This window comes from Homo sapiens, chromosome 1 (assembly GCF_000001405.40).
Source record: "Homo sapiens chromosome 1, GRCh38.p14 Primary Assembly".
Classification (NCBI taxonomy): Eukaryota; Metazoa; Chordata; class Mammalia; order Primates; family Hominidae; genus Homo; species Homo sapiens.
In genome coordinates this window covers 146,974,975-146,989,246 of record NC_000001.11, presented here as the reverse complement: position 1 = coordinate 146,989,246, position 14,272 = coordinate 146,974,975, and the positions used below count along the sequence as shown (strand labels likewise).

General features: G+C 43.3%; 1 protein-coding gene across 2 annotated transcripts in view; it reads right to left on the bottom strand.

The window, feature by feature from the left end:
• NBPF12 (NBPF member 12) overlaps positions 1-14,272 on the bottom strand; it is a 57,875-nt gene that overhangs the window by 6,952 nt on the left and 36,651 nt on the right. For both annotated transcript variants that reach the window (NM_001278141.3, XM_047447088.1), the window contains 12 exons: positions 13,356-13,570; positions 12,246-12,318; positions 11,576-11,781; positions 10,237-10,288; positions 6,156-6,319; positions 5,062-5,113; positions 4,262-4,434; positions 3,491-3,542; positions 2,723-2,895; positions 1,962-2,013; positions 1,121-1,293; positions 298-406 (listed from right to left, as the gene is read on the bottom strand). In NM_001278141.3, coding sequence (NP_001265070.1) covers positions 298-406; positions 1,121-1,293; positions 1,962-2,013; positions 2,723-2,895; positions 3,491-3,542; positions 4,262-4,434; positions 5,062-5,113; positions 6,156-6,319; positions 10,237-10,288; positions 11,576-11,781; positions 12,246-12,318; positions 13,356-13,570 — 1,494 coding nt within the window. The remainder of the gene's footprint in view (positions 1-297; positions 407-1,120; positions 1,294-1,961; positions 2,014-2,722; positions 2,896-3,490; positions 3,543-4,261; positions 4,435-5,061; positions 5,114-6,155; positions 6,320-10,236; positions 10,289-11,575; positions 11,782-12,245; positions 12,319-13,355; positions 13,571-14,272) is intronic.

The window sequence follows — 14,272 nt, the reverse complement described above, 5'->3', positions numbered from 1 at the left end:
CTGTGATCATGAAAAGAGTGAGCTCAATAGTTTTCCATAAAATATGCTCAAAATTCGATGCAGTGGCCATGAGAGTACAGCTTTTGAAGTATGGTCAACCTATGGTACGTTACTAAATGATAAGGGGAGGAAGAAATGGAAACCTAAACATCTACTGCAATGAAAACCAACAGCAATGACAGTAGGAGTAATTCAGCCTTCGTTGAAAACATGACATCAAACACACTCTGGTTTCCCTGAATCTGTTGCCTCCAGGTGTTAACACAGAATTAAGCATCCACAATTGCTGAAAGTTACCTGGGGCATGGTGGGTTTTGATCTTCTTCCCCTTCTTTTCTTCCCCTTCTTCTTTTCTTCTTTGATCTTCTTCCCCTTCTTTTCTTCCCCTTCCCCTTCTTTTCAATTTCTGCAATAAATTCAGACATGGACAGACACATTAAGCTGATTCCCCTACACACATAACAATCCACTGTCTAATCCTCACACAGGGACCTCAGGCTCCTCAGCATAAGAATAGGACACTGTGAGAGATATATTTCAGGAGGCCTGAAGGCTGGTCGTGATAGAAATTCCTCGGTTTTTCTCCCAGAAACTCTGGGTAAAATGTCCCTATTCTAGTAGATCGTTATCCCAATATCATTTGTCCCAAGTTTGTGCAAACAGTTATGCCTTATTTTTCCAATCAATTTAAAGCAAATACCCTCAAATGATTTCTAGGAGAAAAACTGCAATATTTAGCCCTGTCTCATCAAATACTCAGATTGTTCATGGTTGTGAGGACTCCAGACACTGAAATTAGAGTGAAAAAGGAAATCTACAAACCCTCGAGTCAAAATCATAGTTCTCTGAATTTGTCACATCTGCCCAGGTCCAATGTCATGAGAGTAGAATCAGAGTGCCACAGGCATGGCCTGAGACTAGGAAGAGAGCCATGCTCACTGACCCATCCCATGTCTGGGCTTCCAGGTAGAACTAGAGTTTCATTCAACCTACATGTGCCTATAGGTCCTCACTGCGGCAATGACATCTCTCAGCTCAGTAATGGCCACTTGGAGCAGGAATATGATCTTTATATGGAAGACTCAGTGGATCCTTATCACCTTCATAGAAACGTACTCACCTCCCACGTCAAGAGAAAAGCCAACATGTTTTTCCTCCAATGCATAAAAGGAACTTCTGTAGGGCTGGCAGGAGTCAGGCTGTTCAAGACAACTGGAAGGAGTTGAATAACATCTATCCAGTGAGTCCTGCAAGACTTCAGGCTCTACTACCTCCAGCAGCTCCCTGCTGAGCCTGGAAAAGGAGGAAAAAGTAAAGAATAAGCCAGGGGAAATCACACACAACAGAGCCCCAACTAGGTTTCATGGGTAGCATAAGGAAGTGGTTAAAAAAGTAAAAGGATAGATCCATTAATGAGGTAACAAATTATTGCCTTCATGTTGGGACAGAACAGGGCCAAATGGAAAAGAATGAAAGAGAAAGACAGACACACACACACACACACACACACACAAACACACACACAAAGACACACGCACACACTGAGAGAGAAAGAGAGAGAGAGAGAGAGAAAACGAGCTCAGTGAATTGTCCAGGTGACACACTGATGAGGGAGTAACAGGACACTCTGAGTTAGTGCCCTCAGGACACACAGCATACAGTGATCATGAAAAGACTGTGCTCAATAATTTTCCATAAAATGTGCTCAAGTTTCCATGCAGTCACCATGAGAATACAGTTTTTGAAGTCTGGTCCACCTGCAGTAGGTTAGTAAATGATAAGGGGAGGAAGAAATGGAAACCTAAATATCTACTGCAATGAAAACCAACAGCAATGTTAGTAGGAATAATTCAGGCTTGGTTGAAAAGATGTAATCGATAATGTCAGCCCGCTCTATTTTCCCTGAACCAGGAGTCTCCAGATGTCAACACAGAAGTAGCTGTTCACAATTGCTCAGTTACCTGGGGCATGGTGGGCCTTGGTCTTCTTCCTCTTCTTGGTCCTTTTTAATTCCTGCAATACATTCAGGCAGGGACAGACAAAATAAGCCAATTCACCTACACCCATAACAGTCCACTGTCTAATCCCCACACAGGGATCTCAGGCTCCTCAGCATGAGAACAGGACAATTTGAGGGATATACTTCAGGAGGCCTGAAAGCTGGTCATGATATTCTTTGGTTTGCATCTCAGAACCAAGGGTGAAATATCCCTATTCTGGTAGATCGTTATCCCAAAATCATTTATCCCAAGTTTGTGCAAACAGTTATGCCTTATTGTTCCCATCAGTTCAAAGAAAATGCCCCAGAGGATTTCTAGGAGGAAAACTGCAGTATTCGGCCCTGTCTCATCAAATGCCCAGCTCGTTCACGGATGCAAGAATTTTAGACACTGAAATTAGAATGAAGGAGGAAATCTACAAACCCTTGAGTCCAAATCATAGTTCTGTGAATTTTTTACATCTGCCTGGGTCCAACGTGCTGAGAGTGGGCTCAGGTTGCCACAGGCATGGCTGGAGACTAGGAATAGAGCCTTGCTCACTGACCCATTTCATGTCTAGGCTTCCAGCTGAGACTACAGTTTCATTACAACCTATATGCACCCATAGGTCCTGCCTGTGGCAATGACGTCTCTCGGGTCAGTAAGGGCCACTTGGAACAGGAATATCACCCCTATCTGGAAGGCCAGGTGGAGGCTTATCACCTTCATAGTAAGGTACTCACTGTCCACGTCAAGAGCCAAGCCAAGGTACTGTTCCTCCAATGAGTAAACAGCACTTCTGTAGGGCTGGCCTAAGTCAGGCAGTTCAAGATAACCTGAAGGAGTCGAATAACATCTATCCAGTGAGTCCTGCAAGACTTCAGGCTCTTTCTCAGCCAGCAGCTCCCTGCTGAGCCTGGAAAAGTAGGAAAAAGTAAAGAATAAGCCAGGGGGAATCAGAAACCACACAGCCCCAGCTAGATTTCGTGGCTAACATAAGGAACTGTTTAAAAAGAAAAAGGACAGATCCATTAATGAGGTAATGAATTATTGCCTTTATGTTGGGATAGACCAGGGCCAGGTAGAAAAGAATGAAAGAGAAGACAGGGAGAGGGAGAGAGAGAGAGAGGAGAAAGTGAGCTCAGCGAATTGGCCGGGTGACACACTGATGAAGGGGTCAAAGGACACTCTGATTTAGTGCCCTCGGGACACACAGTGAACAGTGATCATGAAAACAGTGGGCTCAATAATTTTCCATAAACTTGCTCAAGATTCCATGCAGTTGCCATACGGCCTTTGAGGTATGGTCAACCTATAGTAAGTTAGTAAATGACAAGGGGAGGAAGAAATGGAAACCTAAACATCTACTGCAATGAAAACCAACAGCAATGGCAGTAGGAGTAATTCAACCTTCGTTGAAAACATGAAATTGAACACACTCTTCTTTTCCCTGGACCTGGCATCTCCAGGTGTCAACACAGAATTAAGCATCCATAATTGCTCAAAGTTACCTGGGGCATGATGGGTCTTGGTCTTCTTCCACTTCTTGGTACTTTTCAATTTCTGCAATAAGTTCAGACATGGACAGACATATGAAGCTGGTTCTCCTACACACATAACAATCCACTGTCTAATCCTCACACAGGGACTTCAGGCTCCTCAGCATGAGAATAGGACACTGTGAGAGATATTCTTCAGGAGGCCTGAAGGCTGATCATGATAGAGATTCCTTGGTTTTTGTCCCAGAAACTCTGGGTAAACTTCCCTATTCTGGTAGATCGTTATCCCAATATCATTTCTCCCAAGTTTGTGCAAATGGTTATGCCATATTTTTCCAATCGATTTAAAGCAAGTGCCCCCAAATGGTTGCTAGGAGAAAAACTGCACTATTCAGCCCTGTCTCATCAAATACTCAGATTGTTCATGGTAGCGAGGATTTTAGACGCTGAAATTAGAGTGAAGGATGAAATCTACAAGATCTACAGAATTCAGACAAAATCAGAGTTGTGTGAATTTGTCACATCTGCCCAGATCCAACATCTTGAGAGTAGGATTAGGGTGCCACAGGCAGGGCCTGAGACTAGGAAGAGAGCCTTGCTCACTGACCCATCCCTTGTCTGGGCTTCCAAGTGGAACTAGAGTTTCACTCAACCTACATGTGCCTATAGGTCCTCCCTGTGGCAATGACATCTCTCAGCTCAGTAAGGGCCACTTGCAGTAGGAATATGACCCTAACCAGAAGACTCAGTGGATCCTTATCACCTTCATAGAAAGGTACTCACCATCCATGTCAACAGCCAAGCCAACACGCTGTTGCTCCAATACGTAAAAGGCACTTCTGTAGGGCTGGCATGAGTCAGTCAGTCCAAGATAAACTGAAGGAGTTGAATAACATCTATCCAGTGAGTCCTGCAAGACTTCAGGCTCTTTCTCAGCCAGCAGCTCCCTGCTGAGCCTGGAAAAGTGGGAAAAAGTAAAGAATAAGCCAGGGGGAATCAGAAACCACACAGCCCCAGCTAGATTTCATGGCTAACATAAGGAAGAGTTTGAAAAGAAAAAGGACAGATCCATTAATGAGGTAACAAATTATTGCCTTTATGTTGTGATAGACTAGGGCCAGGTAGAAAAGGATGAAAGAGAAAGACACACACACACACACACACACACACACACACACACACACACACACAGTGTGAGCTCAGTCAATTGGCCGGGTGACACACTGATGAGGGAGTCAAAGGACACTCTGTATTTGTGCTCTCAGGACACACAGTGAACAGTGATCATGAAAAGCATGGCCTCAATAATTTTGCATAAAATGTGCTCAAGTTTCCCTGCAGTCACCATGAGAATACAGCTTTTGAGGTATGGTCAACCTTCACTAGGTTAGTAAATGATAAGGGTAGGAAGAAATGGAAACCTAAACATTTACTCTAATGAGAACCAAAAAACAATGCAGTAGGCATAATTCAGACTTGTCTGACAAGACAAAATCATTATTTTCAGCGTGTACTGTTTTCCCTGGACTTGGCATCTCCAGGTGTCAACATCAAATTAACTGTCCACAATTTCTCAGACTCACCTGGGACCTGTTGCCTCTTGGTCCTCCTTTTTCACTTGATCCCACCGATGTCCTGCAAATAAATTCAGATGGGGCCTCTTACATTAGGCAGTTCTTCCTTGCACACAGAAACATTCCTCTGTCCAATCCTAACACAGGGACATCAGTCTTGTCAGTGTGAGAACAGGAGACTTTGAGAGAAATATTCCAGTAGGCCTGAGGTCAAGTCTTGAGAAAACTGGCTTGGGTTCTTTCATGAGCCTTGGGCAAAATTCCCCTGTGTTGGAATGTTATCTTCCCTATGTGCTCTGTCCTAGGTTTATGTACACAAATGAGCAATTTTTTCCCCAATAAATTGTAGGCAAATAGTTCTAACACCTCATAGGAGAGATACTTCAATATTAAGCTTTCTCTCATCAAATACCCAGAATTTGATAGTTTATGAGATTGTGGACACAGAGATTTGATGAAGGGGTGCAATGTACCAGCTCTTGAGTCAAAATGAAACTTGGTTCTACACAGAAGCATCAGCTATTATGGCTTTTGTGGGTGAAAAGTAAGCCATTTATCTAGAAAACATACCAGGAACATGACGGACAGATGAGCTAAAACAAGCGAACTTAGAAGACACAGAAAATGGGGATAAATTCAGTGAAACCTGGGTCACATCTTTCACTGAGAGGTAGACAAGGGTGACACTGGCCTTGGGCAGGTAAAGAACCACACAGACATGCTTTGGGAACAAAACTCATAAGGAATTTTGTAGCTGGCAAGAGACATTTAATTCAGATGAGCTGATCTGACAGACAACTCCTGGGCATGTGCTACATAGTTTGGTGTGAGTTTGCCACACCTGCCTTGAGTTCAATGTCGTGACAGTCAGTCCAGGTTGGCACGGGCATGGCCTGAGACTAGGAAGAGAGCAGAGCTCACTGACCCACCCCATGCCTGTGCTTCAGACTCGACTCCAGAGTGATTGAAATCTACATTGATATATAGGTTCAGCCCACAGTGATGGCAACTCTCAGCCCAACAAGGGGCACAAGGCCCAAAGATTATGGGGTCTACCTGGGCAATGAACTGGAGCTTTATCACCTTCACAATGGAGTACTCACTGCCTATGTCAACAGCCATGCAGACTTGCTGTTCCTCTAATGAGTGAAATGTGCTGCTGTAAGACTGGTATGAGGCCAACCTTTCAGGAGGAATTGAGAGAGTCGAATAACCTTCATCCCAGGACTCCTGGGGGACTTCCTCCTCTTCAGACTCCTGCAGATTCCTGATGAGCCAGGCAGGACAGGGATGATAGAAGATTTAACCAACAGACATTAGACAACAAAACCTCCCAGATGATCTGATGGGAGACAGAATGGAGTGGTCACAGAAACCAAAGGCATTTTTCCTTTAAGAGAAATAAAACTATCCTTCTAAATACAGGGTGGAGGGTGACTGCTCTGGGGACAGAGCAAAAATGGGCAGCATGTGCTCAGTACATTTGCCACAGATGAGCCAACTCAGGGCACCCAGACTCTCCCTGTAAACTACCATCATGACTTGCAGCACAGAGAACTGACACAGGGCTTCAACTACTTTGCATAAATTGGGTTGAATTTTACACGCAGCATTCAAGTCAAGAGAGTTCTTGACCCAATGCAGACACAGATCTTGTGTATTAAGGGCCCCATTTTCCCAATATTTTGATATAATATATTTACTTTTTCAATTTCTTTTCTTGCAAAAATACTAGCCAACATACTACCAACAAATGGGAAGAAAGCATATATACATCTCTCCCTGGATTTAAACACATGGGAGAGAATAGGCAACACCAAGAAATCCCTGTTTGAGGGTCTGGAGTGGACTTCCAGCAAACTCCAACAGACCTGAAGCTGAGGGACCTGACTGTTAGAAGGAAAACTAACACACAGAAAGGGATAGCATCAACATCAACAAAAAAGACATCCACGCCAAAACCCCATCTGTAGGTCACCATCATCAAAGACCAAGGGTAGATAAAACCACAAAGGTGGGGAGAAACCAGAGCACAAAAGCTGAAAATTCCAAAAACCTGACATCCCTTCTCCTCCAAAGGATCGCAGCTCCTCGCCAGCAATGGAACAAAGCAGGATGGAGAATGACTTTGACGAGCTGACAGAAGTAGGCTTCAGAAAGTCGGTAATAACAAACTTCTCTGAGCTAAAGGAGGATGTGCGAACTCATCGCAAGGAAGCTAAAAACCTTGAAAAAAGATTAGACGAATGGCTAACCAGAATGAACAGTGTAGAGAAGACCTTAAATGACCTGATGGAGCTGAAAACCATGGCACGAGAACTACGTGATGCATGCACAAGCTTCAGTAGCCAATTCGATCAAGTGCAAGAAACGGTATCAGTGATTCAAGATCAAATTAGTGAAATGAAGCGAGAAGAGAAGTTTAGAGAAAAAAGAGTAAAAAGAAATGAACAAGCCTCCAATAAATATGGGACTATGTGAAAAGACCAAATCTACGTTTGATTGGTGTACTGAAAGTGATGGGGAGAATGGAACCAAGCTGGGAAACATTCTTCAGGATATTATCCAGGAGGACTTCCCCAACCTAACAAGGAAGGCCAACATTCAAATTCAGGAAACACAGAGAACACCATAAAGATACTCCTCGAGAAGAGCAACCCCGGGACACATAATTGTCAGATTCACCAAGGTTGAAATGAAGGAAAAAATGCTAAGGGCAGCCAGAGAGAAAGGTCGGATTACCCACAAAGGGAAGCCCATCAGACTAGCAGCAGATCTCTTGGCACAAACCCTACAAGCCAGAAGAGAGTGGGAGCAATATTCAACATTCTTTTTTTTTCCATATGTATAGTTTTCCTTTATTATTTTTTGTGTGTATGTATATATATATATATATATATTTTTTTTTTTTTTTTTTAATACTTTAAGTCTTAGGGTACATGTGCACAACGTGCAGCTTAGTTACATATGTATACATGTCCACATTGGTGTGCTTCACCCATTAACTCATCATTTAACATTAGGTATATCTCCTAATGCTACCCCTCCTCCCTCCCCCCACCCTACAACAGGCCCCAGTGTGTGATGTTCCCCTTCCTGTGTCCTTGTGTTCTCATTGTTCAATTCCCACCTGTGAGTAAGAACATGCGGTATTTGGTTTTTTGTCCTTGCAATAGTTTGCTGAGAATGATGGTTTCCAGCTTCATCCATGCCCCTACAAAGGACATGAACTCATCATTTTTTATAGCTGCATAGTATTCCATGGTGTATATGTGCCACATTTTCTTAATCCAGTCTATCATTGCTGGATATTTGGCTTGGTTCCAAGTCTTTGCTATTGTGAATAGTGCCACAATAAACATATGTGTGCATGTGTCTTTACAGCAGCATGATTTATAATCCTTTGGGTATACACCCAGTAATGGGATGGCTGGGTCAAATGGTATTTCTAGTTCTAGATCCCTGAGGAATTGCCACACTGCCTTCCACAATCGTTGAACTAGTTTACAGTCCCACCAACAGTGTAAAAGTGTTCGATTTCTCCACATCCTCTCCAGCACCTTCAACATTCTTAAAGAAAAGAATTTTCAACCAAGAATTTCATATCCAGCCAAACAAAGCTTCATAAGTGAAGGAGAAATAAATCCTTTACAGAGAAGCAAATGCTGAGAGATTTTGTCACCACCAGGCCTGCCCAAAAAGAGCTCCTAAAGGAAGCACTAAACATGGAAAGGAACAACCGGTACCAGCCACTGCAAAAACATGCCAAACTCTAAAGACCATTGAAGCTAGGAAGAAACTGCATCAACTAACGGGTGAAATAACCAGCAAACATCATAACGACAGGATCAAATTCACACATAACAATATTAACCTTAAATGTAAAGGGGCTAAATGCCCCAGTTAAAAAACACAGAATGGCAAATTGGATAAAGAGTCAAGACCCATCGGTGCGCTGTACTCAGAAAACCCATCTCACATGCAGAGACACACATAGGCTCAAAATAAAGGGATGGAGGAAGTTCTACCAAGCAAATGGAAAGCAAAAAAATGCAGGGGTTGCAATCCTAGTCTCTGATAAAACAGACTTTAAACCAACAAATATCAAAAGAGACGAAGAAGGCCACTACATAATGGTAAAGGGATCAATTCAACAAGAAGAGTTAACTATCCTAAATATATATGCACCCTATACAGGAGCACCCAGATTCATAAAGCAAGTCCTGAGAGACCTACAAAGAGATTTAGACTCCACACAATCATCATGGGAGACTTTAACACCCCACTGTCAATATTAGACAGATCAATGAGACAGAAGCTTAACAAGGATATCCAGGACTTGAACTCAGCTCTGCACCAAGCAGACCTAAAAGACATCTACAGAACTCTCCACCCCAAATCAACAGAATATACATTCTTCTCAGCATCACATCACACTTATTCCAAAATTGACCACATAGTTGGAGGTAAAGCACTCGTCAGCAAATGTAAAAGAATGGAAATCACAACAAACTGTCAGACCACAGTGCAATCAAATTAGAACTCAGGATTAAGAAACTCACTGAAAACTGCACAACTACATGGAAACTCAACAACCTGCTCCTGAATGACTACTGGGAAAATAACAAAATGAAGGCAGAAATAAAGATGTTCTTTGAAACCAATGAGAACAAAGACACAACATACCAGAATCTCTGGGACACATTTAAAGCAATGTGTAGAGGGAAAATTATAGCACTAAATGCCCACAAGAGAAAGCAGAAAAGATCTAAAATTGACACCCTAACATCACAATTAAAATAACTAGAGAAGCAAAGCAAACAAATTCAAAAGCTAGCAGAAGACAAGAAGTAACTAAGATCAGAGCAGAACTCAAGGAGATAGAGACACAAAAAACCCTTCAAAATATCAATGAATCCAGGGCTGGTTTTTTGAAAAGATCAACAAGAAAACCCTGTTTGGCTAGTTCACCTGGCTCATCTGATGGCAAGTTCCTATCTTGAGAGGACTATGAAATTAAAACCAACACAAGTGCCACAAATAACATACAACATTGTAAATCAGCACAATTTGTAGCTGGGTGAATGGAAGAAATAGTTCTATTCATCACTTCCTCATTTTCCCTAAATCTACAATCTCCAGATGTCACTACTGAATTAACAGCCAACAATTCCACAACATTACCTGGGAGACACTGGCCCTTTTTCTTCCTCTTCCTCATCATCACTTTCATTTTCTGTAAATAAATTCAGAGAAGCAGGTCACATTAAGCAATTCATACTTCACATATGACCAAATCACTGTCCAGTCATAGCACAAGGACATAACTATTCTCAGTGCAAGAATAAGGATTCTGACAGGAATATTCTAGGGTGCCCTAGATTAACTTTGGTGAGAATTAGATGACCCTGCTTTCCAGACCCACAGGCCAAAATCTCCCTCTACGTGTAGACCATAATGCCATATTCCCTGCCTGAGTCAAAGTTAAACAAAATTTTTTCCCCAAAAAAATCTCCAAAAATTGGTCAAACAATTTTCTAAGAATGTTGCTGCAATACGGACTTATATCACCAGGTAACGTGGACATAAAATGTTTAGAGGCATCTATACATGAAACACGACTGATAGATAAATTTGAACAACTCTTGCTTTAAAAAGAATCTGTGATTTGGGAGGCCAAGACAGGTGAATCATTTGAGGTCATGAGTTCAGGACTACCCTGGCCAATATGGGGAAACCCTGTCTCTACTAAAAATACAAAAATTAGCCAGATGTGATGTTGTGCACCTGTGGTCCCAGCAACTCAGGAGGCTGAGGCAGGAGAATCACTTGAATCTGGGAGGCAGAGGTTGCACCAAGTCAAGATGGTGCCACTGCACTCCAGCCTAGGTGACAGAGCAGGACTCCATCGCAAAAAAAAAAAAAAAAAAAAAATCTACGACGCTACAAACAAACATTGGATCAGCCATTGCATTGACAGGGTGGAGAACCAGGGTCCAGCCTTGCTTTATGGAAATATATCAGCAAAGTAAAGAAGAAAAGTTTCCATCCTGATTTCAGGGTGACTGTGCAGCTAAGCAAGCTGACTTAAAGGAGATCCAGATGAAAGCTGAGAGCAGTGAAGCCTGGGGAACAATGTTTCCAAATACAAAGGCAAGGCTGCCAGCTTCCTTAAACAGGCATAGAAACTCCATGGACATTGTTCATGGACAGATGACTAAATCACAGATGACAAGAGATACTGAATGGAAGTTAGGAGGCCTGACAGATACTGCCTGTGCACCTCCTGCACTGAGGTGACTATGAGATTGTCACACTTGCCTGGGGTCGAGTAACTTGATACTGGGGACTGGCAGACAAAGGCATGACATTAGCTGAGAAGGACAAAAAAACTCCCTGATATCTGTTTAGAAACCCATCACAGTTTTTTATTCAAATGAATTTGTGTTTATAGAGCCTGTCTTCAGAGTTTATCTTCCTCAGCCTAGAGAGAGGTATGAGACACAAGGAAAACAGAGGCTACCTGGGATAATGTGTACAGCATCCTCCCATTCAACATGAGAGGATGAGCCAATGAGAGTTGAGTCGACTTTGTCTTCCTCAAATGTGATTTTGGTTTTCCTATGTGGCTGGTTGGAGTCATAAGGGCCATGGCTATTTGAACAAGTGATGGCACACTCCTCCAGTGAGTCCTCAGGGACTTCCTTTTCTTCAGCCTTCTGCATCTCCCTGATGAGCCAGGTGGGACAGAGATGACAGAAGATTAAACACAGAGGGATTGGACCCCAGGGAGTCCTAGCTGGTTTTGACAGGCGGCATTAAGAGAGTGGTCCCAGAAAGCAAAATGGACGTTCCCATTAAGAGGGAACATGCAATCCTGTTCTGTCTGCAACAGAGCACGGCTGCCATGGGAACCAGAGAGGAAGAGAGCAGCTGCTGTTCATTGCACTGGACAGATAGGAGCTGAGAAGGATGAAGACTCAGCTATCCCTGTACGGTGCAGACATGACACTCGGCACACATAGAGAAACATGACACCTGCCGCACCCTGTGTCTAAGCTGGGTTATATTTCACATACTGTGGCCAAGCGAATGCGGGTTTTTGGCCCATCATACATGCCAGAGAGGGTGTGCCTCCTAGATATTCTTCATATGTTACCATCCATTAATTGTTCCTGAGTATTCAGTGTTACCTGGGGGAAGACGATTTCTGCACTTTCTCAGCCACCTCAACTTGAACATCTTCATCGTCATCGTTATCATTTTCTGTAAATACAGAAGTGTTCATTCAGATATTTCCCACTTCACAGTCTGCAAGCACAGTCAGCCCAATGTGCAACAGGGACATGAACATCTAGGCATGGGTCACCGTTCAACTGAAAACTCTCATGTTTTATCTTTAACAGAATGCCCTGGCATGGTTTCCTGGTCCATCAGGCAATGCATTTCTGATCTGGAGGGCCACCATCAAGATGTGGCCAAATACTGAAAAGATCTTTTGCTTCCCATATCACTGGAGGCTTGTGCAGCCTCTCTCTGGACTTTGGCAGCTGTCTCCCCCATCCTGCCAGATCTGATTCCCAGGAACAGGCTTGGTGTCCTGTCACAGTTTGCATTTCAAACCTAATTCTTTCTCTTAGAAGCAAACTTGTCCCACAGTCCTCTATGCATTAGAAGATTTCAAGCCTCCAAGTGGCTTCTGCTGTGTTATTCAGGGACATTCTATCCATGGGGAGTGCTCCAGTCTGAAGCACTTCCTACCACAAAATGCCCCCACATCAAGTGCCTTCTCCAACACCACACGGAGAGGGGCTTCATCTCATTTTGGAAAGCAGTTGTAAGTGTTCCCACATTTGAAAGCTTCAGACCCTTGCAAGAGACAATTTGTCTGCCATGGAGAGAGAGAAACTCAGGAAGGACAAGTCATTCACTCACCGACAGTTACTAAGAACATTGCCGAAAAGACAGCCTGGGAACCTTCATTCTTAGTCCAGAGCTCTTTTCACTCTAACAAGCCTGCTCCCATCGCAGCCTCCTTCCTGTCCTTTAAAACTAGACAGATGCTGCCTCTTACTCCAAAGACCACCTTCCATCAAGGAAGGAGGGACACTTGCAATACTGTGACCTCCAACCCCATGGGTTTCCCATCTCCGTTCTTACCCAGGAAGTCCTGGTCATGTCATGGCCACATAAGCTTAGTGGAAAAAAACACCATTGATACAACTGTCATTGTGAAAGTATGGAGGTCTGGAGCCTCTCATAAGCCTGGGGTTTTGGGTCATCAGGGCCTATGGCCACCTTACCTGGGCTGAGCTTTTGGACAAGGTGTTGTGCCAGTCTACACCCCTCAGCCAGCTGTTCTTGGAGGTCCTGCCCCTGGGACTTGTCCGGCTCATCCGGAGTGAGGAGGGCCTGGAGATGCTCATTCAATGAGCGGGAGGCATCTCTCCCTTCCCGTAACTTCTCCCTTAACTGGGTCAGCTCTCGTTCCTGAGAGTGAACCAGGACTTTATATTGCCTAAGGTGAGACGGTAGAGAAAATTTAAGAGTGGAAAGGGTTGAGTGATCCGTTCAAATATTGCAACAGAGATTTCTGAGACAATGTCCTCAAGGAGACCTCCAAGCAGAAGGTCAGCACATGTTGAAAGGAATGTCTGTGGCCAAGAGAAAGAATAGAAAATGGTTTACAGGCTTCCTCTGTATCAGAGAGGGCTCCTGCAAGATCCTCGATGATGTTCCATTCATCTTTCCCCTCTGTAAACAAAAGTAGGTGTCTTCCTAATTCCGTTTCAAAAAGACATCCTTTCAGTTCCTCACTCTGGCCATGGACATTTCCATGTGAAAATACACATAGTGCATCTTGCGGCCATTAGATACAAAGCCATGTACAGAAATGAGGCCAGATGCAGATAGGGCGAATTGAAAAGACGAAAGAAGAAAAGAATGACAGGGTCGAGAAGGCAACATTGATTGAGTGAAAGAATGAGAAGCCGCAGTCAGTCAGGAGGTGATTCTCACTAAGGGTAAGTGGGATGGTGATGGCACACCATTTTGAGTATACTGAATGCTGCTGTGTGGTTCACACTCCTTTGGTTAATTTTGTGTTATGTAAATTTCACATCAACAATTACTTGTTTGAAAAAGAGAAAACAAGGCTCTGAGAAACAACTGCAACCCATAAATTTTTATTATCCTTCTTCTCTGTTTGATAAATATTTGT